General features: G+C 38.9%; 1 protein-coding gene and 1 non-coding gene across 14 annotated transcripts in view, besides 1 other annotated feature; both read right to left on the reverse strand.

Moving 5' to 3' along the window:
• ATF2 (activating transcription factor 2) overlaps positions 1-23925 on the reverse strand; it is a 95945-nt gene extending 72020 nt beyond the window's left edge. For 7 of the 13 annotated variants that reach the window (NR_045773.2, NR_045774.2, NR_045771.2 and 4 more), the window contains exons 1-2: positions 23772-23925; positions 6782-6880 (exon numbers count right to left, since the gene is read on the reverse strand). The gene's annotated coding sequence lies outside the window, so the exon portion shown is untranslated. Of the gene's footprint in view, positions 1-3667; positions 3703-6781; positions 6881-23771 lie in introns of all 13 variants that reach the window. The other 6 variants (NR_045772.2, NR_045770.2, NR_045768.2 and 3 more) reach the window with 1 other exon arrangement.
• MIR933 (microRNA 933) lies at positions 23355-23431 on the reverse strand. The gene has a single exon (NR_030630.1). It is a non-coding gene; the product is annotated as a microRNA 933 (primary transcript).
• Positions 23874-23943: a silencer, noted in NCBI's record as "silent region_12133". NCBI's record gives its function as "represses an Ori minimal core promoter by ATAC-STARR-seq in GM12878 lymphoblastoid cells {active_cell/tissue: GM12878}" and the evidence as "EXISTENCE:reporter gene assay evidence [ECO:0000049][PMID:35858748]".

Here is a 26054-nt window from a genome sequence, read left to right on the forward strand (position 1 = left end):
AGGTCAAAAATGGGACAAAAATATTTCTCCTGCTATTTTACGACTAACAACTATACAGAAATTTTATGTAAACCACTTTTAATAGTACAGAGAGACTTTTAGAATTTCTAGAGTTATTAGACAGGCTCATTACCAAATGGAATCATGTATTATAAAATGCCAATAAGAAAAGAGAATAATAAAGAAAAACATTTTAAGAAAAGATGAATAGAAGAAAATGGAAGAAATTAACCGGCAAAACACATCTTCCAACTTAAAATTCACATAAAAGTTAAGCCACCAGAGAAAACAAATATAGAGTGTCTGCACGGGAGGTAGCTCAGACAGGCTACCTGAGGGCAGCCCACTGCAGTGTCTGAGTCTAAGCAGAGTGAGAAAGATGTCCACTGGGAGATAGATGAGTTGAGGGTTGGGCTGGGAAAGGGGTGGTCAGCCCTGCATTTAATGTTGGAGTCTCAGAAGGATAAGAAAAGAAGGGAAGGCAGCCTGATGTGAGCTGTCAATGCCCAAGTGGGCTAAGGCGGCATCCACATGAAGTAAAGGATAGGAGTGGCACTAGTCCAGCACAGGGTGTCAGGACCCAAACAGGAAGACATCTACTTGATGGAGAGGAAAGGTGAGTGCCTAATGGCACCAGGCAATTCATTATGTAAATACGTGGATATTGATCAAATAAGTAAACATATCAAGGATGTGCTAGGTAAGAGTGAATTCATACTACAGTTGAAGGGAATTATAAATATAGAATGAACCTTGGTATTAGATGACATTTGAAGATACTAATGGTAACTTATGGCTCTCAACATAAAGATACAGAAATATAGATGTTAATGTGTATATGCACGCATATGTGGTCATGTAGGTCCCTAGCTGTGTCCACTGAGAGGGCCTGGGAACACTGAAACCCCAATAAGCACACTTAGCATCCAGACTCTGGAGTGTGATATAGGTTGAATATATGTCCCTGCCAAATCTCATGGTGAATTGTAATCTTCAATGTTGGAGGTAGGGCCTGGTGAGAGGTGTTGGGGCAGATCCCTCATGGCTCAGTGCTGTCCTCTCAACAGTGAATGAATACTCAGGAGATCTGATTTTTTAAAATTGTGTGCCCCCTGCAACTCTCTTCCTGCTCCTGCTCTCACCATGTTATGTGCCTGCTCCTGCTTTGCCTTCTGCCATGAGTAAATGCTCCTTGAGGCTTCCTGAGAAGCTGAGCAGATGCCAGTGCCATGCTTGTATAGCCTGTGGAACCAGGAGCCAATTAAACCTCTTTTCTTTATAAATTACCCAGTCTCAGGTATTTCTTTATAGCAATGCAAGAATGGCCTAATACGGTGCGTAAATACCATTCTCCACCAAAAGGGACCTCAGCTCCTTGAAGAATTGGCTGATTCTAATTCAGCAGTACAGGATGGGTCTTGTAGTGGAAATAAAGAAGTCCTTCCTTACTTTCTGGCACAAGATATTCAAGACGCATCCTGTACTGCTGCCAGATTTGGCCAGAAAGTAAGAAAGGACTTAAATCTGGGATAATATGATGATCAAAATAAATAATGATAGTAATGGATCACATCGTAAATAAAGAGGGTTCTATGAACCCATACTGATATAAAGGAATAAACTGAACATTTGATAAGAAATAGGATATTTATATCATCTCAAAGTATTATATCTCCCTATACAGCTTAATTACTAAGGGCAAAAGTAATTTACAGCACAAAAGCCTGGCAAACATCACCTTAATCAAGTGATGTGACTTAACCCCACGAGAAATAAGAAAGATAAAATCATGTGCCACTGATAGAATGTAATAAGAATGTAACAGCATCACTTCTATAATAGTCATGCCAAAGATATAGAACCTGTATCTAATAATGAAGAGTATTATATAACCCCAAATTGAGGTAAACTCTATAAATTCACTGGCATAATAATCTCCAAAAGCACCAAAATCATTATAGTCAAGGAAACATTAAGGAACTGTTTCCGATTTTAAAAGACCAATGCGACATAACAAATAATTGCAACCTGAGATTCTAGACGGAATCCTTTTTCTATGAAGTACATTATCAGAACAACTGGAAAAACTTAAATGTGACCTGCAGATTAGATAGTAGCAATATATCAATGTTAACTTCCTGACTTTCATGGACATATTGTGATTTTGTAACAGAATGTCTTATTGTAGAACCCTTAAAGAGTTTTGAAGTAAAAAATAAAAACTTATAGAAGGAGTTTAAGTTGTATGTAAATAATATGCACTGTAATAATTCATTACACAGCAGTCCTCCACTTATCTGCAGCTTCACTTTCCATGGTTTCAGTTACCCACAGTCAACAGCTGTCTAAAAATATTAAATGGACAACTCCAGAAACAAACAATTCATAGGCTTTAAACTGTGTACTGTTTTAAATAGAGTGATGAAATCGCATCTTCTTGCTCCATCCCACCTGAGATGTGAATTGTCGCTTCGTCAAGCACATCCAGGCTATATATGCTACCTGCTCATTACTACATAGGAAAAAAAATAGCATGTATAGGGCTCAGTACTATCTACAGTCTCAGGCATCCACTGGGGCTCCTGAAACTTATCCTCCACAGATAACGGGGGAGTACTGTATAACCATTATATAATTAGCATCGATGTAGTTTGTAGCAGTAGTCATGAAAAAAACACTACAAGATATATTTATTCTCTAAGAACTCTGCTTGTTTTTTGTTTATAATTTTCATGCTATGATATATATCAAAGAATAGAAAAACTACATTCTGCACTGCAAGGTTAAGAGCAAATAAAATTATACTACAGTAGAATAATTTACAAATCAGAAGACTCAAAGGGTGATATCATATAATCATTTATTCTATTAGCTCCTTGTTCCCTTTTTAAAATATGACATGTAGGTTAAGTCTGTTGAGGAAAAGGAAGATGCTTTAGGCTGTAGTATCAATATTCCCATGTCATTTTTAATTCTATCACTGAAGTGATTCACACGATAAAATATTTTATTTTCCTACATCCCTATCAAAAACAAATGAGGAAAGCAATTCACTTCATAGAAAATAGTGCTGTTAAATCAGTCTACAAAAATGGGAGGGAGCAAACACATTTCTGGTGACTAACGTTAGAAATATCCGGATTCTAAAATATGAATTTGATCTTCTATTTAGTTGGTTATAGAACTATAAACATTGCAAACTCTTAACCTTTTAAGCACGTACTCAAGTTTCCAAACAAGTTTCTAAAATATAGGTAATACTAAATGTTATAGATAATACATAGCACTCTGAGCATTTCCAATACAAATCATTTACTTTATAAAAGTTATTTGGAAAACATTTCACTACCTATTTTGTATCTAATACCATATTAAGAATAAAAGTTGCTTGATGTTACCATGGTTTTTATGAAAATACATAAACATTTTTTTAAAAAGAATAAGACATAGTCCCTGCCCTTAAAATCAGACTAGTAAGGAAGAGAAAAAGTGAAAATAGTAATTCAGTGATACATATAATAATAAAGACAGGCTATGGGAACATAAATCAAAAGCATTCATATTCCCCTCTTAAAGAGCTTGATCTGCCAACATTGGAGAAAAGGGCAATCCTACATATCCATGATCCTGACATACCTGCCTCAGGTAAACTAGGGGAGATACTGACCGAGTTAAGCCAATCAGACTACCTCTTCAGGAAATCTGTAGAAAGAAAAAATCAGTCACACAGAAGTGAGCATCAGAGATTCAAAATCATATTTTAGGACCGGTAGACATTTTCTGTCATGTTCTTACTGATAAAAAAAAAAACTAATAAAAGCCAGAATGGAGTAGGCACAGAAAAACAGAGGTGAGAAATCATGAAGGAAAATAGTTTCTGTGATGCCCAACTATGTCTTGTGATTGGATCCGAGAGTCTCCAGTACCATTAGTATGAGTCCCACCCCCTCTTTTTACTTGAATTTATCTGATTGAGTTTCCATTCCCTAAATACCTAGCCAATCCTGGAGAGGGCCCTGAAATGCTACTAAAGGAAGTAATGCCTGAGTTGAGTTTTCTCAAAGCAAGAGGCATCAGCCATTCTGGGATATTTCATAAAGAGGAGACAGCATGTTGAGGCACAATAAAGCACAGTCCACTGAGACTCTGAGAACCTCTGATAGCTGAAGTGTGGGACTGTAAACCAAAAATAAAATTCTAAGCCCCCCAACCAACAGACCCTTCCCTTGGCCCAGGGCATTCCAAAGTTAACCCGAAAAACTAGTTAAGGCCATGATGGGAAGTGGAGGTCCCACAGGCCTCATTTATACCCTCCTCCCGTTGAAATTCAGGCACAGCTGACCAACATTAATATCAACACAGAGACCGTAAGATTGATAGAACAGACTCTTTAAGTCTGGTAAGAAACATTTACAGTCTATTCTCTTGCATGATAAAACCTTATTCTCTACAACCTCTTATCTTAACCCAGACATTCCTTTCTATTGATTCCAGGTCTTTAGATAGTAACTCTTTCAACCAACTGCCAATCAGAAAATCTTTGAATCCTATGAACTGGAACACAGCACCCCACCCCCCAAACTTCCAGTTGTCCTACCTTTCTGGACCCAATCAATGCACATTTTAAATGTATTGATTGATGTCTTATGTCTCCCTAAAATGTATAAAACCAAGCTGTAGCCCAACCACCTTGGGCACATGTTCTCAGGGTCTCCTAGGTTGTGTCATTAGCCACTGGCTACTCATATTTGGCTCCAAATAAATCTCTTCAAATATTTTATAGAGTTTCACTCTTCTCATCAACAGGATAGAAGATTAAGACAGTAAGACCAGAGAGATATCCAAATCTTGAAAGGCCTTTAATAACATGGTAAAATGTTTGGATTCCACCATTACCTGCCCTTCCACCATCCTTCCTTCCCTTCCCACTGCCCCAAGGTTATATAAGCTATGGCCCTGGGTCAAAGTGCTGAGTTCTTCACACTTTAAAATTGTTAAAGGTGGGGGCGGGGACACAAAGAAGACTATGCAACAGAGATCACATGTGGTTCCCACAAGGTCTAAAATATGTATGATCAGTCTCCCAGTCTCCCACTCCCCCATTAAAGAAAAAGTTTGTCTAACTCTGTAGTAAGAAATTGAAACATTTTAAGTACGTGAACTAAATCAAGAGGAGGATTTTTGCAAGATCACTAATAAAAGTATAGAAGATGGGCAGCACACTATGCATAAGAAAACTGGCAAAAAATGACAAAAATAAGAGGTAAATCTAAACAACAACAACAACAAAACAAAGAAAACTGGCACAAGCTACTGCTAAGTTGAAGGGAGAATAATGGTCTGAACTAAAGCAGTACTATCAAAATGAGAGTCAAGGATCAGTTATGAAAAAAACAAGCAGCTCACAGGATAGTCTCAAATGCTTAACATTGTTTCTAGACCCTTGCATGGACTGACCACTACCTCCTAACCAGTCTTAGGCTTCCCCTTAATCTCTGGCTCTAGCTATGCAGGCTTTTAATCAGTTTCCTCCCTTATATCATCCATTTCCCATTCATCCATTCCTTTCTTAGTCAACACCACTAACTTCCGAGCTTCTTCCATCTACTACTCCCCTACCCTCAAATTTGGATCTCTCATTTACCCCATCATTCAGTCAATAAACATTATTGAGCACATGCAATAGGGTAGGAATGTGCTAGACTTCAGGGTATGATGACACAGACACAGTTCCTGACCTAATGGAGCTTATATTTTATGATGACTGCTTCTAGTAAACTTGATCATTTAAGTTAGTCAAGCAGCTTAAAATTATTTAATGCAGGTATCACAGAGTAAGAAAAAATTATCAAGTGTTATCACCCATTCTGCTTTATACTTGCTTTAAAATTTTTTGCTTTTTAAATATATAAATGTATTGACAGATTTAAATTATTTTCCGAATTTTTGTCAAAATTAGAATAACTATACTTTTATGCATAGTTCCTCTTTTGATGTGAACCTCCAGATCCAGGTGTGACAAAAAACCCAATCTGCTTGTATATTTTGATATATCTAACAAAGTCTATCACTATGTTTTGAAAGATTTTGTACGCCAGACTACATTTATTAAATTGGTATTTTCCTTCCATATTTAGAAGCTACATCCCCAAACTGTAAATGGCTTGAGATTAGAAAAAAAAATTTTTTTTTACTTTATACTCTAATATCACCATTCTGTGGCTGGCACACAGTATTCAATAAAGGTATGTATAAGGGACTGTATAACTTCCAATTAACGTTTCTGATCAGCATGAGACAACTGTGGTAATAAACTTAGTTGATATCATTCAATTAGAAAGCAAATAAATTTGACATTTTCATTAGCTTGTACGGCCCTAGAGTGGGTAAACTTTTTGCCCAAAATATTTTTGAAAGACAGAAAATACCTCAGATTAGTTTATATTATTATTCTTAGAAGAACTGAGACCTTTATATCGGAACCCTTTGCTAAAGAGGGGTCCCTAGTCAGATAAATTTAGGAAACTCTATGTTAAACAAAATTAAATATTTAACCTAAGTCCTCATTGTGCTTTTATATGCTCACATTCATTCTATCTCCAAAAGACATTTCCAAATTTGCTGAATCTCAGCATCTTTTTTTACTAAACACTATCAATACGGTAGGACTTCAGCATTCTGAAGACAACTGTCTGGAAACATCTACTAAATTCGGTAGTATTTGAAAGATAATCACAAAATGAAAAGAATACTTTTATGTTAAAAGCTTAAAATCTCTTACCTTTCTAGCTGGTGGGCCATGAGCTTTATTTACTCTGCTTCCAGGAATACCTTAGCTGTTATCAATAAGCAGTCCTTTCTCAAGTTTCCATCTAGTACCCTTAGGGAAAAAGAGAGGCAGAAAAGAGTGAACTTATTACCATGTGGGATCTAAATTAATAGCCTCTTGTATTTCAATTCCATAGAATTTTTAAAAATGTTTTCTTAATATTTCAAAAATGTATGTAAATTTTGCCTCCCATTCCATGTTTTTCAATATAAAACTTAAGGTTCTCCCTCCAAATTGTCAATGCTCCAGGAAGATGTTTATCCTGTAGCCTCCCGTAACTCCTGGCATATTACCACCTATTAGAGGTATTAACAATTTCAAGGATGGAAGTAAGGCAATGAAACCTTGGTGAAAGTAGAAAAATGAAAGAGGAGGAGTCATAGATAACAGGTGAAATGTCAGTGCTGAATTTGAGCATCAAAATTTTTAGAGTGGAGATTAACAGTTTTTCTTATGTCATTGCTGCACAATAAAACCCATGGGACCCAGTCTATGTGCTTATTTGGAAAAAGCTTGACTTTTAAATATATGTGTATCAGTTAGGATTAGGTTCAGCTGTTAATGATAGAAAACTCAAAATAACAACGGAATGACAGAACACTCAAAATAACTGGCTTAAATGATTCAGAAGTTTATTTCTTTCACAAAAAAACATAGGCAATCCAGAACCATGATCGCCTGGAACCAAGGGTCCTTATATTTTGTTGGTCTGCCATCCTCAACATGTGGCTTCTCCTTCATGGTTTTAAAAATAACTGTTCAAGTAAGTTCTAGCCATCACATCTGCTGATCAGACAGCAAGATGAGAAAAAGGAGATAAGCAATAGCCTCCCTTTAAGGAAATTTTTCAGAAATTTCACAGGAAACTTTTATTTACATTTCATGGCTTAGAACTTAATCATATGACCATAGCTATCGGGGGGATAGGAAATATGTCCTTTATTTCACCATATGCTTAAGAACTGGAGCATCTACCAATAAGAAAAAATAATAGGAGGAATATTGGCAGACAATTAGTTGTTTCTGTCCTCATACTTATTTCATTCTAAAATGTAAGATGTCCAGATACCTCATGGAGATGGCTTGGCAAACTACTAAAGAGAGTTTTCGAAAGCAGAAGGTCCTGTCAGGAGCCAAGACTAACATTCATAAGGACTTCTTTAATATGTAAGGCTAATCTATAGGTGACAAAAGAAAGGAAAAATATGAAGACCAGAATGACAACATAAGAGCAAAGAAACAACCTAAATTGTTGTAGTTTGGAAAGGTAAACTCACATACTCAGTCTACAAAACTCAGAAATGACTGCTCAGAATCATTATGTAAATAAATGGTGTGGTCAAGGTGAGAATGAGTAAGAACCTGGCAGAAAGCTCAGTTACCAACCGCATTAAGAAAAGGCACAATATTCAAAGAGAAAGACACTTTTCTCTACGTTTTCTCAGTGCTGAGCTTCCATTACCAGGTCATATAGGTATTGGGAGATTTCCCTATTGTGCAGAATGTTGGAAAGAAGGGTTGCACTTAACTTTGATTTCCTGACACTTTCAAGATTGCTTGAAACATGTTTAAATATTTAATATGTTTAAAACACTGTTGTATCAGAAACTAAAAACTCATTTCAAAGCTGGCAACAAAATTATGCTTTATATACAGGCTGTTCCTTAAGGGAAAAAGGACCCAAATAGTATATTCAGCCATACAAATGTAAAATAGGGACTACAAAAATGGAGCAGCAATTCAAAGGACAAATGGCTCTGTGGGATAATGTAAAGGACCACATCTTCTTGATAGAGATAAATTTCTGCAAATTGTTTCTTTCAGAGAAATGTTTATTTTTAAAGTATGGCTTCGGGTTTTCCTATTTGTATAGAGATATTTGGGTTCTTATTTCAGCAGTTACTCACAAAAGACCAGGTACAAAAGTAATTGCGGTTTTTTCCATTAAATACAATACCCTAAAAAACTGGAAGACAAACTGGTATTGTCATTTCAAGCAAAAAGAAATAAGATAGCCAGTTGTAACTGGCCTGTATAGCTTATGTCTTAACACATGCAATGTTAAGATAATCACCCAGACTTTGAACAACATTAAAAATAACATCCTTTTTTTGTAACTTGAAAGGCACAGATGTAAGGAGCCTCTGCTTTGCCCCCACTACCTGACTTATTGTAGACGTCTTTCTTACATAATCATGCATCACTTAACAACAGGGATACATTCTTTGAGAAATGTGAAGTTAGGCCAAAACATCATTGTGCAAACTTCAGACTATACTCACACAAACCTTGATGATATAGCCTATTGCTCCTAGGCTACAAACCTGTACAGGATGTTACTGTACTGAATACTGTTACCATTTGTAAGAAAATGGTATTTGTGTATCTAAACACAGAAAGAGTACAGTAAAAACACAGTACAAAAGATTTTAGGCTGGGTGCTGTGGCTCACACCCTCACGCCCGTAATCACAGCACTTTAGGAGGCCTAGGAGGGTGGATCACAAGGTCAGGAGTTCGAGACCAGCCTGGCCAATATGGTGAAACCCCCGTCTCTACTAAAAATACAAAAAATTAGCCGGGCATGGTGGCGGATGCCTGTAGTCCCAGCTACTTGGGAGGCTGAGGCAGAGGAGAATCGCTTGAACCCAGGAGGCAGAGGTTGCAGTGAGTCGAGATCACACCATTGCACTCCAGCCTGGGCGACAGAGCGAGACTCTGCCTCAAAGAAAAAAAAAAAAAAAAGCCACCACCACAAACACACTGTTCAGCTATACAAAAATATTTTCATCCTTATTCTAATAAGCTTTTTTCTATCTTAAAAATTTTTAGGCTGGGCATGGTGGCTCACGCCTGTAATCCCAGCACTTTGGGAAACCGAGGTGGGCGGATCACCTGAGGTCAGGAGTTCAAGACCAGCGTGACCAACATGGACCTCATCTCTACTAAAAATACAAAATTAGCCGGTGTGGTGGCACACACCTGTAATCCCAGCTACTCAGGAGGCTGAGGCAGGAGAATCGCTTGAACCTGGGAGGCGGCGGTTGCAGTGAGCCAAGATTGCACCACTGCACTCCAGCCTAGGCAAGAAGAGCGAAACTCCATCTCAAAAAGAAAAGAAAAAAAAAATATATATATATATATATTTTTTACTTTAAAATTATTTTGTTAAGAACTAACACACAGATACACACATTAGCCTAGGCCTACACAGGGTGACGATCATCAGTGTCACTGTCTTCCACCTCCACATCTTGTCCCACTAGGTCTTCAGGGGCAATAACATGGAGCCGTGATCACCTATGATAACAACGCCTTCTTGAAGAATACCTCCTGAAGGACCTGCCTGAGGTTGTTTTAAAATAAACTTTTTTTTAAAAAAAAGTAAAAGTACACTCCAAAATAATGATTAAAAAGTATATTTAAATACATAAACCAGTAACATCATTGTTTATCAAATATTACATACTGTACGTAATTGTGCTATTTTTTCCTTGTCTTAATGAAAGACAAATGCTATACTTTTATACAACTGGTAGCACAGTAGGTTTGTTTACACCAACATCACTACAAATGTGAGTAATGTGTTATACTATATCATGATGGCTACCACATCTTATATGTGGTCTGCTGACTCAAAATGTTGTTATGCAGCAAATGGCTATATTTGGATATCACTAACCTGTGGGTAGAATCTCTGCTGAAATGTGCAAACACTGCTAATGGCAAATTTCCTGGTAAGAGCCAAATACTGTGACAAGAAACAGGGCCCAAAAAGTAGGCATCAGTATGAGAAAGGAATTAATCCTCTCTTGGGCATGGCCTCAAAAGTGTGTAACAGATGCAAGGGCAATCCTGGGTGGTGGAGAGAAGTTAGCTTCTGTCCCTGTGGGAGGACAGGAGGTAGGCAGGAGGTGGACAGTCTTTCAAGGAGGCAGTATGGGATACAGACAAAGTGGGGTATGTATTACTAAAGGTACACACTAAGGCTTTCCAAGGGATACTTGAGCAAGACAAGTTTTAAGAAAATCAGCTTCTGTATCTTCATCTTCCCTTTGTTTGCTTTCCCAAAGATGATCTGCCTACTTTCCCAGAGCCCTCATTCTCCCACTTTTCACAAGAAATCCATACCTATCCCCATCCCAAATCTTATTAGAATGAGTTGCCCTAGGTTGTAGAAGCTTCCATGGAACAAAACAAATGGATAATTTAAAATAAGAGTGCCTTAAAACCTCCATTAATCAAGACACCATTAACCCTCAAGCTTCTGGCTTTCCCTGTCTTACAAATATTTCTATTAAAGGCAAAGCATAGCTTTAAGAATTGGTGTTCTGCTTTGTGTTTAGGAATTCAGATATACTTTATTGTATAGTGTGATGACAGAAAGAATAACAATTTTCATTTAATGATTACCTCTTCCATTGTGGAAATACCATACAAAAATGCATTGTCCAGAGAGGGAGTTCCGCAAGAATGAAGAAATCAGTAAAAAATTTTGAAAAATTAAATGTATATTTGCTACAAACAAGTATGACAGAGTCATTAATAAAGAATTTTAAAACATTAAAATACATTGGATTCAAATAAAATTATGTTGGAGAAGTCGAAAGAAAATAAAGTTTAATAAGAAAAAGGGACGCTGAAAACTTCCAACTGTGAAATGAATTAATTCAAGCTTGTTTTTTAAAACCAATGACAGCATCAAATCACTATGATATTTAGGTACTTATAAAAGTGGTGTATCTGGAAAAAACAGAAATTATATTTTTTTCAACAATTTCAATCTATGATGAAAATTGTAGGAATCAACTTTAAAATGTACAAGGGTAGAGAATTTATCAAGTTTCTTTTCAGGAGTATATGAGTGTATTAGGCAGAATGGCCTTCCAAAGATGTCCATACCCTAATCCCTGGAACCTGTTAATAGGTTACCTTCCACCACAAAAGGAACAGTGCAGATGTAAAAAGACTACACAGATCTTTGCTAGCCATGGTGGCTCACACCTGTAATCCCAGCACTTTGGGAGGCCAAGGCAGGCGGATCACCTGAGGTCAGGAGTTCGAGACCAGCCTGGCCAACATGGTGAAACCCCATCTCTACTAAAAATACAAAAATTAGCCAGGCGTGGTGGCGGGTGCCTGTAATCCCAGCTACTCGGGAGGCTGAGGCAGGAAAATTGCTTTAACCTGGGAGGCGGAGGTTGCAGTGAGCCGAGATTGCACCATTACACTCCAGCCTGGGTGACAGAGCAAGACTCTGTCTCAAAAAACAAAAAAAAAAAAAAAAAAAAAAAAAAGGACTACAGATCCAAAAATAAGATAGATTCCTGGGTTATCCAGGAATCTAATCAAGAGACCTCAAGAGCTGAGAACTTTCTCCATCTGGAGTCAGAGATTCAGCCAGAAAAAGAAGTCAGACAGGTTAGAAGCACGAGAGGGATTTGACCTGCCATTACTGGAGGGGGCCACATGGAAAGCACTTCAGCTCCTGGGAGAAAAGACCAGCCCTTGGCTCATAGCCAGTAAGGAAAGAGGGACACAAAGAAAGGAAAGACCTACTGAATTCAGCCAACCACCTGAATTAACTTAGAAGTGGATTCTTCCCTAGAGACTCCAAAAAGGAATGCAGCTCTGCCAACGCACTCATCTTGGCTTTGTAAGTCCCTAAGCTGAGGACTCGGCTGGGCCCGCCTGGACTTCTGGCCTACTAAAACTGTGAGACAATAAATCTTTATTGTTTTAAGATGTTAAGTAGGTGGTAATGTATGAGTCAGAAACAGAAAATTAATACGGTAAGAAGAGTTGTAAGGTACCAGGAAGATGGACTTGTGCCCCACGACTTCAACAGCAGCACCACCTTATAGACACAGGGTATTTTTTTTCTATTTTTGTAACATTTTACATAACTCATAAAACAGCATTTGTATAAAAATTCACATAAAGTTTCTAAAGGGCATACAATTTCCAGCAATGTCCTGGGTTTTCGTGAAATTCAGTTTTCTAAAGATGCACTCAAATCAATGGCAAAATGCAGACATTATGCAATATTTCATTGTCTTTGGTAAAACTATTCTCATTATTTTGTCTCCTCACAGTATTAACTCTGAAATCCACTTTGTGCAGGATCTGCCATTACTAGGATGTCAGAAAAACAATAAGGCTGGATCTGTAAGAGGCAAGTTATTTCCAAACAGCAGTAATAGGACCTTGGCCCCCATCCCCACTTCATGTATCTATGCAGTCTATCTACACAGCCACGCAGGGTGAGAGCTCACAATGACCAATCAGGAGTCTTGAGATCCCCTCTCGATTGGGCAAGAAGCAAACGTCTGGGAGGAACATTGGAAACTGAGGCCATCTCTACAGGAACCCAAGTGGCCATGCTGTGGTGTGGTCAGGCCAGCGACTCTTACCAATTAAACAGCCAATATGTTCACCACTAAGTAGATCCTATTGATTGGTTGATGATTGCTGCTGATGTGGCCCCTTTCCCACAAACATAAAAAAATAAAGGGAAGATCTGGGGCCAACACTGAAGGGGGAGGGGCACGCTAGCACAATGACACTAGACACGACTTTATTCCCTTTCAAACATCTGTTATCATGGGCTGGGCACAGTGGCTCATGCCTGTAATCCCAGCACTTTGGGAGGCCAAGGTGGGTGGATCACGAGATCAGGAGTTTAAGACCAGCCTGGCCAAGATGGTGAAACCCTTTCTCTACTAAAAATACAAAAATTAGCTGAGCGTAGTGGCAGGTGCCTGTAATCCCAGCTACTCAGAAGGCTAACGCAGAGAACTGCTTGAACCCGGGAGGCAGAGGTTGCAGTGAGCCGAGATCGCGCTACTGCACTCCAGGCTGGGTGACAGAGTGAGACTCTGTCTCAAAAAAAAAAAAACACCAATATCTGTCATCATGTAGGCACAGCCAAGGTGAACTGAAGCAGGATACGAACACTCAGTACATTCATGACTATCTTCATACATTCCTGAAATGATCCTAGAGATCACCTTGGGAATAGCAAAGTGGTCATAATAACAAACCTAAATCAAGGAGTTTGAAAACCTGCAGCCACGACCTAGTAGGACTTCACTTGCCTCTCAAGACTAAAGTATTTTGAATTCAGGATTTTTTTTTTTTTTTTTTTTGAGACAGGGTCTTGCTCTGTAAGTACAGTGGCCCAACCATGGCTCACTGCAACCTGGATCTCCTGGGCTCAAGTGATCCTCCCACCTCAACCTCCTCAGTAGGCGGAACCACAGGTACACATGCCACCACACCCAGCTAAATTTTTTTTGGAGTGACCGGTCTCACGATGTTGCCCAGGCTGGTCTTGAATTCCTTGAGCTCAAACTCTTATTTTAAATTATCCAGGGATAATTTTAAAATGGATAACTTAAAATGGATATTTTAAATGGATAATTTAAAATAAGAGTGCCTTAAAGCTTCCTGATCCTACGGCAAGAAGCAAACGTCTGGGGGGAACACTGGAAACTGAGGTCATCTCTACAGGAACCCAAGTGGATATTTTAAATGGATAATTTAAAATAAGAGTGACTTAAAGCCTCCATTAATCAAGGCAATGATCCTCCTGTATTAGCCTCCCAAAGTGCTGGGATTGTAGGTGTGAGCCACTGCCCCTGGCCAGGAAAATTTTAAATTGTATGATTACACTATGATCCTCTACAGTAAAAAAAAAAATACATTTCAGGGCTATCAAAATATATAAAAGTAACATATGTAAAATACACAGAATAGTGCATGACACTAAAATAGTATTTATTAAGTTCATAAATTTTACTGCATTTTACTTTGACTTTAAATGTACATTTTTCTAATGCCTAATAAATACCTAATCTTACTATCTTCTTTATTTTTAAGGCCAGAAACTGAACTACATACTCAGTTTGACTTTTAGATAAGAGTTTTGGCCAGGCATGATAGCTCAACCCTGTAATCCCAGCACTTTGGGAGGCCAAGGTAGGCAGACTGCTTGAGGTCAGGAGTTCAAGACCAGCCTGGTCATCATGGAGAAACCCCGTCTCTACTAAAAATACAAAAAAATCAGCGGGGCGTGGTGGCGGAGACTATAGTTCCAGCTGCTCAAAAGGCTGAGGCATGAGAACTGCTTGAGCCTGGGAGGTGGAGGGTTCAGTGAGCTGAGAACCTACCACTGTACTCCAGCCTGCGCGACAGAGCAAGACTCCGTCTCAAAAAAAAAAAAAAGTTTTATATTAATCTTTAACCCATGATTCTGATGCTATCTGTAAGTTTATTTGATATATAATGTTTAGTTCATCAATTTAGGTAACTCAAATTCATCAGCTGAGAGAAAAATATTAAGCCCAATGTTAACAAGGAAAGCAGCAGTATTTTTTCCCCCACTCACAGCAGACATGAGAGAGGTCCTTCACACAATTCCCAAGAGTATACTAAAATTTTGATGAAATTTCTCAAAGTTGATGGTACACGTAAAAAGTATCACAAACTTCTCCAGACTGTATTATGAGTATGTGAAGAGTGAAATCAGTTCAATATCTCAAAAATATTCAATTAAAATATCAGTAGTCCAATTTTTAAATTAAATATTTTTTAAGTGAGTCTTGATTATTCCTAGGCAATGTAAAGAAAGCAAGTAGTTTTATAGTTTAAAATTATAATAGAATAACAAATACATAAATACAAAAAATTTACAGAGTAATAATTATGAATATAAACAACAGTAGCACAAGTTGTGCTAATAACATCACCTTAGATTTGGTAACAGAATTATGTGGTCTAAGGTCCATAGCATTATTTTTGCCCAAGGTAGGTGATAAAATACCTTTCATTGCTTTTTTTCTCCTGAGAAACTTATTTTTTGTAAAAGCAAAAAGAAAATAGAAATAGAAATTCAGTTCTCCAAGAATTACAGTAATTCATAGTCATCACCATTATGAAAAATACATCAATAAAAATTTCTCATTATGAAGAGGGCACAAATAAAATACACTACCGGCTTGGTGTGGTGGCTCACGCCTGTAACCCCAGCGCTTTGTGAAGCTGAGATGGGAGGATTACTTGAGGCCAAGAATTCAAGACCAACCTGGGTAACATAGTGAGACTCCATCTCTACAAAAAATTAAAAAATTAGCTGGGTATAGTAGCACATGCCTGTAGTCCCAGCTACTCGGGAGGCTGAGGTGGGAGGATTGCTGAAGCCCAGGTGTTTGAGGCAGCAGTGAACTACGACTGCACCACCACACTCCAGCCTGGGTGATAGAGACCCTGTCTCTAAAAATGAAATAAAGTAAGACTATGGATTATGTACTATGCCCATTAAAACAATGATAAGCTCACCTCTTTCTTCCGTTTTCAAAGTATGTCAAAATTCAAGTAAGTAAAGTGTATTACTACAAAAAATATCCCTCGACCCAACATCCATATATCAACAATCATTAAAACCTACCTTACAAATGATAAAATATTTCACTGATTCTCAACTTTGTGGCCAAAAATTGATAGTGTAGTTATAATTGTATAATTAGCAGAGACTTCAAAACAACTTTAGAACTGTGGTATTTTAATCATAATCTCAATCCCACTATGGGGAAGGAGAAATGAAAGGTTTCCCTAGAATGTTTATAATAGGATTGGTGGAGTAGAAGAAAAGAATAGTTGGGGTGGGGAGCAGCCTGTAATCCCAGCACTTTGTGATACTGAGGTGGGAGGATCGCTTGAGCCTGGGAGTTTGAGACCAGCCTGGGCAACGGCAAGACCCCATCTCTACAAAAATTTAAAAACTAGCTGAGTGTGGTGGCATGTGAGTGTGGTCCCAGCTATTTGGGAGGCTTAGGTGGGAAGATCTCTCGAGCCCCAGAGGTGGAAGCCGCAGTGAGACTTAGTCGCATCACTGCACTCCAACCTGCATGACAGAGTAAGACTTTGTCTCAAAAATACAAAGATAATTGGATTTTATGAAAATCACAGTATCATAATTTTATCATCTTAAAATAAGGATATGCTATACTGAAGGAATTTGATACAGAAAATGTCTGAGAAGGGGTACATATGGAACAAAAAAATATGAGACATTCTCTCAAATGAATTTACGAAAATTCTAAGGTGGCATGTTCCTCCACAAATTATAAATTCTTAGGGAAAAATAACTTTGTTGCCAAAGCTACCAAGTAGATGGTTGCTGTACTGCTTTCAAGCTACAGCACAAGCATGCCTGGAGGGCTAGGCTAGATTATTTCTGAATGAACTTCAATAATAATTCCCACAACACAAACTGAGTACTCATTAAGTTCTTGACACTGTATTAAGTATTGTATATATATCACATGAATGCTCACAGCAAGACTATGAGTTAAATTATTCTCCTTAAAGAGAAGGAAACTGAGGCAGAGAGGTTATATAATTTACTCAAGATAACACAGTAAGTGGTAGACCCCTGATAATCTGGCTTCTAATAACTATCCTAAAATATTGATTACACACTTAACTATGTGCCAGGGACAAAACTCAGTCAATTTGGCTATCATATACTCATATACACTTTCTTTATTCCAAGTGTTTCCTACATGGAAATGAATTTGTCATTATAAATCTTAATAAATCATAATGACACATTCATAAGACAGAACTATGAAATGTATAGTTCAGAAAGTAACTCTTTTTTTTTTTTTTTGAGACACCGTCTCGCTCTGTTGCCCAGGATAGAGTGCACTGGCGTGATCTTGGCTCACTGCAACCTCTGCCTCCCAGGTTCGAGCAATTCTCCTGCCTCAGTCTCCCGAGTAGCTGAGATTACAGGCACCCGCCATCATGCCCAGCTAATTTTTGTATTTTTAGTAGAGATGGTGTTTTCTCACATTGGCCAGGCTGGTCTCGAACTCCTGACCTCAGGTGATCCACCTGCCTAGGCCTCCCAAAATGGTGGGATTACAGGCATGAGCCACCATGCCCAGCCCAGAAATTAACTCTTAAACTAGCATTAAAATACTCAGTGTACAAACCACATAAAACTGCATGAAATCTAAGAATTATTGTTACCAGTCTGTCAAAAGTTTTGGTAAACTTTAAAAGAAACAAAGACAGTAAAATGTCAGAAAATATGAAATACACAATATTTGTCACATCACATAGATCACTGGTAGATAAATAACTATAGTATGATATGGCCAACTAAATAATTTTAAAACTGCTAAATAATACAACTTATTCCCAGAAATAATTCCCAATTAGGTAATCACGCTTCATTAATCATAACTCCCAAGTTCACAAAAGTATGGCAAAGCTAACGCATTCATGCTCTGCTGACAGTGTAAACTCGCTCAAGTCTTTGGGGAGGCAAAAATCTGGCAACTGTAGAAACATTTATATCCTTTGACTAGTAATTCATTTGAGATTAGTATCCTATAGAAACAATTCATAAAAGAAAAAATGCACAGAGATGTTCAATTCAATGTCAAAATAGGCATAAACTGAAAACTATTATTTTCCTGTCAGGCATTTAGAACAAATTTAATACTTATTTTTCAACTATCAAGTAACAATCAAATATCATAAAGGTTATACAACATGGAAAAATACAATGCTATAAAAGTAAAATAAAACTTATTTGATATAATTCTGTAAAAACTGCAATATATATGCACAAACTAGAAGAAAACAAAAATAATGAACACAATTATTTGTTAGTATGGCAAAACAAGTTGATATATAAAAAAATTGTTCCGACACGTTTAATAAATAAAAGCAGGCTGGGTGCAGTGGCTCATGCCTGTAATCCCAGCACTTTGGGAGGCCGAGGTGGGCGGATCACAAGGTCAGAAGATCGAGACCATCCTAGCTAACACGGTGAAACCCCGTCTCTACTAAAAATATTAAAAAATTTGCCGGGCGTGGTGGTGGGTGCCTGTAGTCCCAGCTACTTGGGAGGCTGAGGCAGGAGAATGGCATGAACCTGGGAGGCGGAGCTTGCAGTGAGCCAAGATCGTGCCACTGCACTCCAGCCTGGGCAACAGAGCGAGACTCTGTCTCAAAAAATAAATAAATAAATAAATAAATAAATAAATAAATAAATAAATAAATGCAAGCAAACATACTAGCCCGAACAGTAAAATTAGAAAAACCAAAGCTATAACATTGGAGCAAAGCTAAAAAAATTAGAATGACAAAGGTTTCGGTTCTGCTAGCAAACTAAAGAATATTTAGGGAATATATTTATAAACTTATGGTCAATATTATAGATAAAAATACTATATATTACAAAAATAACCAAAGTCCATATGGTATTTTGCCAATTACAATTATTTCTCCCTGTCTTTCCCTACCAGTCTTGTTGAGAATCTCTGTGGTAATAAGCCACTACTACTGTTGGAAGTATTTTGTATTCCTTGGGTAGAAAGGCAAAAAAGTGGCTGAGAACCACTATCTTTGTTAAGATACAGAATGCAAATATGGGTGAATAGGCAAAGCCCCCAAAACATTGTTTACATCTCTTCTTTACTGTCAATGTCAAAATGCCAAGGAAAAAAAATCAATAAACATACTTAAAAAATGAAAAATGATGCTGGGTGGTGGCTCATGCCTGTAATTCCAACACTTTGGGAGGCCGAGGCAGGTTCGAGACCAGCCTGGCCAACATGGTGAAACCCCGTTTCTATTAAAAATACAAAAATTAGCCAGGTGTGGTGGCGGGCACCTGTAATCCCAGCTACTCAGGAGGCTGAGGCAGGAGAATCACTTGAACCTGGGAGGCAGAGGTTACAATGAGCTGAGAGCGGCACTGCACTCCAGCCTGGGTGACATAGCAACTCCGTCTCAAAAAAAAAAAAAAGAAAAGTGAAAATGAATACACTAGTTTCAAGGTTGCCAACAAGAATAAATTGAAAAGATATATATAATGAATACATATTTATTTATAATTATATAATATGTAACATTAAATACACCTGTAACACAATGTGTAAAAATAGGCCCGGGTGCAGTGGCTCATGCCTGTAATGCCTTAAAAGTGAAAATGAATACACCAGTTTCAAGGTTGTCAAAAAGTCTCAACAAATTGAAAAGACACATATAATGAATACATATTTATTTATATTTATATAATATGTAACATTAAATATATTTATATTATAAAATAATGTGTAAAAATAGGCCTAGTGTAGTGGCTCACGCCTGTAATCCCAACACTTTGAGAGGCCAAGGCGAGTGGATCACTCGAGGCCAGGAAGTCGAGATCAGCCTGGCCAACATGGTGAAACCCCATCTCTACTAAAAATACAAAAATCAGCAGGGAATGGTGGTGCACCCCTGTAATCCTAGTTATTCGGGAGGCTCAGACAGGAGAACCGCTTGAATCCGGGAGGTGGAGATTGCAGTGAGCCAAGACTGCACCACTGCACTCCAGCGTGGAAGCCAGAGGGAGACTCTGTCTCAAAAATAAAATAAGATAAAATACAATTACTGATGGCCTTAAAGATCCACAAATTTCCTTGATTTTCTATGAAACTATCTTATACCTTACTATATAACCTTTTAACCTTGAGAAACATAACAAAGGAAATAAAATGTTCTCTGGGGTTTTCCTTCAAATAGAAATAGGTGAATACTATCCTACTACTTCAACATTAAAACTTACATAAAGAGAACATGCAGCATTTTAGACAAGTTCTTAGCCTTGAGGAACAGGTGTGAGTATGAGATAAACACAGAAATACTAAATTAAACTCCAGATTATAACAATACTAAGTGAATTTTTTGGTTTTTGTTTTGTTTTGAGATGCAGTCTCATTCTGTTGCCCAGGCTAGAGTGCAGTGGCACGATCGGCTCTCACTGCAGCCTCCTGCTCCTAGGTGCTAGCGATTCTCCTGCCTCAGCCTCCCCAGTAGCTGGGATTGCAGGCGCCTACCAACGTGGTTTCACCATGTTGGCCAGGCTGGTCTTGAACTCCTGACCTCAGCTGATCCGCCTGCCTCAGCCTCCCAAAGTGCTGGGATTACAGGCGTGAGCTACCACACCTGGCTAAGGTGGGATTTTTTTTAGGGTACATTTTAATTATACAAAATAACCCAACAGGTGCTATATGCATTGACTTTTATAAAAATCAGTTGAATATTAATTATTGCTATTCACTGAATTTTTAACGAGAGGTTCTGATGAAAATCTGGTTTTCATAAGGGAGACTTCAACTACTTTATATTCTCCAATGACATTTTAGTAAGAATAAAAAAGAGAAAGAAATGCCTACTTATAGGTATATTTCATATTGGAAGGAAGAGCCTTTAGACAAAATTAGTAGAAAAAGCACACATTGGTGAGATTGTTTACCTGATCTAACACGATCTAACAATTTACCAGACAAGAACGTATGTATCATTAAAACCGAAGTTTTCCAAAATACAAAAATTTGGGTAGAAAAAATGTACATTATTTTTTGAAGAGTTAATGCTACTTACAGATAGATGTTTGATGTATGGCATATTTTTCTACCATAGTCATAGAGCTTTCAGATCCTGAATACCAATAAAGACCACCCCAACCCCACTATTTGTTAAAATGCTGACAACCATTTCTACTATTTATTTATTTGAGACGGAGTCTCGCTGTGTCGCCCAGGTTGGAGTGCAGTGGCGCCATCTCGGCTCACTGCAACCTCCGCCTCCCAGGTTCAACAGATTCTCCGCCTCAGCCTCTCGAGTAGGTGGGACTACAGGAGCCAACACACCCAGCTAATTTTTGGTATTTTTAGTAGAGACGGGGTTTCACCGTGTTAGCTAGGATGGTCTCGATCTCCTCACCTCATGATCCGCCCCACTCGGCCTCACGAAGTGCTGGCATTACAGGCATGAGCCACCGCGCACGCCCAGCCTCTACTATTATCTTAGCTTAAAAACAAAAAACGCCAAAGAAAAAAGTGCAGGAATTCCTGGGTTACATATTTAACTAATAAAAATACAGTGCCCCAAATACGAAATAAACATTCGGATAAGATATTTTAAAAAGGATTTTCAGGAAATGCACCCGGAGCTATAGAAGGTATTATGTACACTACACATACAAAAAAAAGTCCCTGAAAGCTCCTTCCTGACAATTAAAATACATAACAACTAAGTTCTAAATTTCCACGATATTACATTTTAAATCAGTTCTTAAAACTTAATGGCAGTAGCATTCTCTCAAAGCAAGATTAAACGTCTTAGGAAGGCAACATACACATCATGGTAAATTTGGAAGATTCTCAGAAACTCTTTTACACATCACGGTAAATTTGGAAGATTCCTAGAAATTATTTTACAAAGACGAGGATTCTTAACTATTACGCAACTACTGATGGCCTTAAAGATCCATGAACTTTCTTAATCTGCAGAGGGGAATCTGTATATTTAAAACGTATTTTACAAGGATGTTCCTAACATTTTTGAAACAAAGTTTTTACGGTGGATTCCTCAAGTAAGGAAAAAAAAATTAATACATGATAAAACTGCTTCTGTGTTTGTACTTTAAGACACTTAAACCTGTAGGTTTGACTTTTTAACAAGCTTTTATAAATAAAGCTTTACCTTCATAATTTTGATTCAAGAGACCAAAGCTATATGGCTATTTAAAGATCAGAACGGCTGTTACTCACAATGATAACGCCAGTGGTCATGTTTCTTCAAATAGGACAAAAAGTGTGCTCAAAGAAAGTCAGTTTTTGTTCTGATTTTAAATGTATATCTTAAATGCATGCATTGTGACCGTCTCCATAATTTAAAACCTCTAAGAAATTTAAACTTTCACATTATAATTTAGGGATTAGTCAATCCCTTAGTACCAGTTAAATAATAGCCAGGAAAGCATTAGAAAACCTGAAGGTACATGTAAAGAAATGCTTTACATCACTATTTAAAATAGGTGTTGAATTTTAAGAGAAACATTTCTTTCACTAAAATTTCTGATGCCTAAGGTCCATCAGGAGTAATCTCTTTTACTCCATGATATTCACAGTAGTTTTGCTCTTGGCCTCACCAGTTTTAAGACTCTCCATTAAAGAAAGCCAATTTTATACTACCTAGGGGCACAAAAATAGTTCCCAGCTCCTCCTCTCTTTTTCCTCCTAGGTTCGGTTAAACGAGCGAACATAGAAAACACGTACACACACTCCCTTTCGGCCCTGGTCCCTAGGGCATTGATGAAAAGCAAATTATTTCTTTACATACGCTCTGCTGTCCACCCAGAGATTTAAAAAAAAAAAAATAAGGGAAAATACCAGAATCAGTCTGCACCCACACCTAAGCCCCGCCCCACCGGGAAAAAGCTGGGGGTAGCGGGATTGTGAGGGTGGCGGAAAGGACGGAAAAGGCCGAGACTTCCAGCTCCTAGGTTCTCCACACCATTCTTTCCTTCAAGCTGCACCGCAGCCAGGGACCCTGATTCTATTTTCAGCCGCGCCTCCCGATCCTCCTCCCCGCCACCATCACCAATACACGGTCCTCAATCGCTTGAATACTGGGTGGGGAGACCAGAGTGGGCCCTCTCCCCGCCCAACCCAAGGACTGTGGGTGGGAGAGGTCTCCCTGCGCACACGGCTGACTCGACGCGCGCCCCGAGGACCTCTGAACTGACCCAAGTAGGGTGAAGATAATTCGGAGGGAGGGGTCTAAGAGGGAGCCGTTATTCCTTTTTCCTCTGCCTTAGGAAAGCGCGCGAGAGGGAGGGGCCGGAACAACGAACGCTGGTTACCTAACGGTCCGGCCCAGCCAGTCAGGTTCCCAAAGCCCACACCGCGCGGGCCGCCGAGGTGGCAGCACAGCCACAATCGCCCCAAGGGCTAAGGAGCACGTCAGGAGCACCCGAGGTGATGGGAAACGGGGGGTGGGGACTGTGCTGAGCGACGTCGCCATGTTAGCGCCTTCTTTCTCCGTATCCCTACAGTCTCCAGCCCTGCTGACCTCTGCCCATCGTTACTCACCTTTCCAGGTCACTAGTTCATGATCCTTTCGGTCACCCGCGAGCCCTGAGCACAGCCGTGTTTACAAAGCACCCCTGGAGGAAAAGGCTGAACGGCACTTTAAAGGCCACGGGCTCCCACAGGCTTCCGTCCTCTCTCGCGAGATCGGACTGACAACCCCCGCCCGCTCGCCCCGCTCCCGGCATCCCCACCTTCCTTCTGGCGCCCCTCCCCTTCACCCACACGCCCCTTCTTGCCTTCCTTCTGAGGGAGCGCCTCCGAGTCAGGTGATTCCGTCAGGCTTAAGGAGAAGAAGGCGGGTCTTCGGCAGGGCGGGTAGAGGGGACGGGCATCAAAGAGCACTCGGGCGCTCATGATTGGACAAGGAGCCCGAAGGGCGGGAAGCAGTTCTGGAGGGGGCGGGACCAGAGGGCCCAAGGAGCGTTACTTCTGTAAACCCGGAGCTGTGGAAGACTGTGATTGGCTGTCGGCTGGAGGAGGGCGCGGGTGCAGGCGGCGGTGAAGGGCTAGGCAGGGCTTTGGCGGTGTGAGGGGAGGAAAGGTGGTGAGCTCCGGAAAGGCTGCTAGAGGGAAAGCAGGATGGGTCCTCCGAGCCCAGCCCCAGGAGCCGGGTGTCTCCGTTTCCGTCACTTCCCAGCACTAGGTAGGGAGGTGGGTAAAAGTAGGCTGCGTTCCTCAGCCCACCCCTTGGCTCCCCGGGAGCCTGAGGCGGGGAGCTTCGGGTTAGGTGAGGTTTGGGGGAGGCGGAGTTTGCTGGTAATTGCCCATCCCTCCCCTCCAAAAAACCCCACACAACTTAAAGATTTTAATATTAACTGTAAGGATGTTGGTTATTCAATAAATAGGCACAAGTTGAAAAGTATGATCAGAGGCCTCTGTGAGAATTTACATTATTCAATAAAAGATTTTCAGTGTCTTATTTTTTCCATTTATTAAATACTGATTTCTAGTCTGGAACAAAATTATGAACTAGTTTATATATTAACATAAAATACACTCTCAAAATTGTTGAAAGGTTTTGGGGGATAGTATGAGAGTTAATGAGCCTGAAGTTCAAGAATGATATCTGGCATAAAAGTGAAATTGTAATGGCATTGACATTTTAACAGGTAGGTCTCTGGACCGCATACATGTGTATAAGCCAACTCAGTCCTCTTTTAAAACTAATTTTAGTTAAGAAACATTAAGCCAAATTATTAACACTTTCCTACTTAAAATGAAAGTACCGTCCCCATATAGTAACAGTAATGTAGTAGTGCCATTGTAGTGTAACACTAATTATGTCAGCAAAACCTCACAGTTCAGATTACTCATGATGGAAATGGTGGACAAAATGTTTGATTGACATCACAATTGTTAGGTCTAGAACGCATTGATTAAATAGATGCTTCTCTCTCCATCTCCCAAAACAACTAATGTGAGAAAAAGAACTGCAAATGTTACGACATTTCAAAAGAAGTTTGGGTCAATTAGAATAGATTTTTTTAAAAAAATTGTTTTTCCATTTGAAATTTTTTCCAGTGTTGATTCAATTGGGCAGTAGCTTTGGTTTTAAATTTCTCATTGCTACTTCTCCAGTCTGTTGTCAAGCAGTTAGTTATCTACATGATGCATTCGAGAAACACATTATTTTAAAGAAAGTCTTTCAGTTCTTTTTAGACAAGAGAAGAACTGTTTAGTGATATGAACAGTACTCTGATCTGTTTTGATAATTCAGTTTTAGCTAATTTTCTAAAGAGAGGGTATACCTAAAGTGAGAAAAAAAAATAAGATAGGCGCAGGAAACAGGTGGAAACTATGCCGATCTGTTATATATGCATTTTGGCAGCCCGGCATTTAACAAAGGGTCTCACTTTATCCACATATTTCTAGTTCCACAGCAGTTTGTTTACTATAGTTTTTCTACAAGTGGGGAAAACATTCAGCATTGTCAAAATGAATGTAGTTACCATATTCAGGTCTGATTCCATGAACTTGTCTCACTACTTATTCATATCCTCATAAAATGCCACCCTTTTCCATCTTTGTTCTCACTTTTGCATTCCTCAATATCCCCAAGAGTCCTAAAATTCTTTACAGTCTTCTCTTTACAAACGCAGGAAACTTCTTGTAGACCTCTTCTTTGCCTGTCTTGTTCCATGATGCATCTACCCAACTTAGTTCTAAGAGAATTAGTGAGGGTCTAGTGAATCTCCTTTAAGAACCCAGCATAACTGCTAAATAAAACTAATATTCCTTAGATACAAAATGAGGCTATTTGAAGAAAATGCATTTCTGTCATGA

The sequence above is a fragment of the Homo sapiens genome, chromosome 2, assembly GCF_000001405.40.
Source record: "Homo sapiens chromosome 2, GRCh38.p14 Primary Assembly".
Taxonomy (NCBI): domain Eukaryota; kingdom Metazoa; phylum Chordata; class Mammalia; order Primates; family Hominidae; genus Homo; species Homo sapiens.